General features: G+C 40.9%; 1 annotated feature.

Annotated features, from left to right (window-relative positions):
* Positions 429-1,021: an enhancer, noted in NCBI's record as "OCT4-NANOG hESC enhancer chr5:122551508-122552100 (GRCh37/hg19 assembly coordinates)". NCBI's record gives its function as "activates a minimal SCP1, AML or CMV promoter by ChIP-STARR-seq in naive H9 embryonic stem cells {active_cell/tissue: H9 hESC(naive)}" and the evidence as "EXISTENCE:reporter gene assay evidence [ECO:0000049][PMID:30033119]".

Here is a 3,427-nt window from a genome sequence, read left to right as displayed (position 1 = left end):
ATCCTGAAATTTAGAACCTTTTCCTACATATCCCCCATGATTCCTCCTTATGAGCTCAAATCTCAATCACATTGGTCAACTCTTTGTTTGCCTGATTCTCTTTCCTTCCAGGTCTTAGCTAGTGTGTTTGTTTCTCTTTCTATTTTCACATTTCCAGGCTACAATCATCTTCCAAGTCTTAGGTCATCTGCTACTTCCAAATGGAAACAATGCCTCCTCTCTCTAACCACGTAGTGCCTTAAACTTCTTTAAAGATGCTTATCGTGTGCTACTTTGTGTTCCAATTGTAACCTGAGGGAATTCTGGTGTCACTAGAGGGAGTGCTAAACAAACAAACAAACAAACAAACAAATAGGAAGTCTGACTCCAGGGATAGATGTTTGTATTTCTTGGTGCTTCCAATGCTTCCACCCCACACCATGACCCATTCTGCACCACTTCCCTGAAAACATACACTTTTTCCCTCTCAGTATTTTGGAAGGAGGAGAGATTCTCAGCTGAACTAGAGTAAGAAAAATATCAGCAGTTCACAAATGAAGCTAAGGGAATTTTCTCTCCACTGTAAGTGCAGACTAAGGGTTTGCCTAGTGGTCTATTTAGGAAATTAAATGATCAGGGTCATCAGTGAGGGACAGAAAACTACAGATCTTAGATGAGATCAACACCAAAGCTTTAGACATTCCAGGCAATCTTGGGAATTGGGAGCTTTGTTATCCAAACACTAGCCGTGTGGACAATGACTCAAGCAATCATGCCTACACAATGAAACTAACAAACAAACAAAACTCTGGACATTAAAGCTTGGGCATGCTTCCCTGATGGCATTATGCTGCCTATTGTCACACATTGATGTGCTGGGAGAATGACATATCCTTGAGGACACAAAACTTTGCATTTGGGACCCTCTCAGACCTCTCCTTGGGCAGGTCTTCTTTTGGCTTTTGGCTGGTTCTGATTTGTATCCTTTGCTATATAAAACTGTAATCCTAAGTATAGCACTTTGCTGAGTTCTTCAAGTCATTCTAGCAAATTTTCTAACCTGAGAAGGTAATGGGAACTCTCAGATTTGTAGCCAGCTGGTCATAAGTGCAGGTGGTCTGGTGACCCTGAACTTGCAGCTTGTGTCTAAAGTGAGGGCAGTCTTGTGGAGGACTGTGCTCTCAATCTGTGAAGCCTAATTCTAGATTGTTGGTGTCAGAAGTCATTGCAGCAGGATAGTAGACATCTACAGGACAAAATTTGTGTCAGAAAGGTATCATTCCTGAATCCAGAGACCTGGGCTTCCCATAAACAAATCAGAATCCAAATAAGAGCTCTATGTTTACATATATCAGAGAAAGGCTATGTCTTAAACAGCTCTGCAGTTCCCTATAACCTGTACAACATTTTAGTCTGTTTGTAGAATGAAGTAAAAAAGCCTCGCAACTAATTCTACTCTTACTGATTTTAATGCAATCGGAAGTTTTATAAAATGTCATATGCTTGTCGTGCGCAGTGGCTCATGCCTATAATCCTTGCACTTTGGGAGGCTGAGGTGGGCAGATTGCTTAGGCCCAGGAGTTTGAGACCAGCCTGGACAATAAGGCAAAACTCTGCCTCTACAAAAAATACGAAAACTAGCCAGGCGTGGTGGCACGTGCCTATAGTCCCAGCTACTTAGAAGGCTGAGGTGGAAGGATCATCTGAGCCTAGGCAGGTCGAGCCTGCAGCCACTGTACTCCAGCCTGGGCAACAGAATGAGACTCTGTCTAAAAACAGAAAAACACACATACAACAACAACTAGAAATCATATGCCCTTTATGCCTAAGTTAAAAAGAGTGAAAGTATATGCATCAAAAATTAACAGCAGTTATGAGTAGAATAGTTGAGAGCTTCCAAAATATATATTGCTTTTGCTTGCTGATGTGCTTGTTTACATTATGTTTTGCTTTTATAACCTATTAAATAAGGTGAGGTAGAAGGGGAAATATGACAAGCTTCTAGTAATGAGGAATGCTTTCCAATGGCTGAATAAGCCAGTGGGCTCTTTCTAGTCCTACTTATGCATAACTTATATAATAACAATTTTCTCTTCTTGTCGTCATTTTGGCTCTGTGATCTTGGACAAGTCATTTTATCTCACTTTTGCCTTACGTTAAATCAGGGTTTATACAAGATGACTGCTAATATCTCTTCCTGCTCTAAAATTCTAAGTGCACATCTAAAGACTTAAGTTTATGTGCCTATAGCTCAAAAACATCCACAGCTGTGGGAGGTGAAGGAGAGGGGTTCTTGAGTAGGTGCGCCCCTCTAGGGGAAGATTTGCATAAAGATGATGTAGCAAGTGAAAAATGGACTGTGACAGATTAATGCTGGGAAGCTTGATCTGCTCAGTATCTGGCCCACACAGCCTGGTCTGATCAGATCTTCAAAGTCATATGGTCCTTATTTGGTTTTACAATAAATAACTCAGACTTATGAGTTAGAAACCAATTAATGAAATCATCTAGCCCAGAGGAGAGCAATCCTCCTGGGCAGTCACTTTGGAAACATAGGCTGTCCATTAGGTTTGCCAAGCCTGGGGCTTTTGTTCCTGCTAGTGATAGAAATTAGAGGATTCCTCCCAATTCCAGATGACCTTTGCTCTGAAATACAACAGTTGTTGCTGTGGAGGTCAGAGAGGGCTTGGCTCCCACAGACATCGCTAATTCTAATTCTACTTATAGATTGGGCTCAATACTGAGAAGTAGTTGAGGACCATTGGGAAAAGACAAGAAACTTCTGATCAAACCACATTTACTTATTTGTTGTTGTTGTTGTTGTTGTTTATAACCATTCTGAAAGGATATAGGAATGACTCCAGGTAGAACTGTTTTGGAAAGTACTTAAGGCAGCATCCTGAGGCATCATATCTCTGGTTGGGAAAGAAAACTATTGATGTGTTCGTATATATTGAGAACCAAACCCACCATGGGTGCTCAATAAATATCAAGCAATCAATCAATTCTCCAGTCACAGAGAAGCTTCCTGTTCCAAACATGTAGTCACGGAAGAGAGCTTGGCCCAAGACCCATCTCCCTCTTCCAAATGATGTGACTCCAAACTCCAAGAAAAGTTCTGGGTAATTTTTTTTTCTTCATCCCACAGCAACTGATGGCACAATCCTTGGCAGCACTGGAAACAGCGATTTCCAGATCAAGACACCAAAGCAATGAGATCTTGCCGTACATTGGTCAAGTTTCTACAACGCAATGGAAACTTAATGGAAAGAGAATCTTAAATTATAGCCAGGCAGCTGATTGGAAGTGGCGGCACCTGTTTTCAGAAATGCTCTAAGTAAAAATTGATGTGATTTTGAAAATGGAAATCTATTGTATGGAACTCTTTAGCATCAAAAGCACTTGCTGGAAGATAGCCACAAACTGCATTTATTTAAGTCAGTTTTGC

The sequence above is a fragment of the Homo sapiens genome, chromosome 5 (genome assembly GCF_000001405.40).
Source record: "Homo sapiens chromosome 5, GRCh38.p14 Primary Assembly".
NCBI classification, from domain to species: domain Eukaryota; kingdom Metazoa; phylum Chordata; class Mammalia; order Primates; family Hominidae; genus Homo; species Homo sapiens.
The sequence above is the reverse complement of the archived record's forward strand: the minus strand, read 5'-3'. Positions and strand labels throughout refer to the sequence as shown.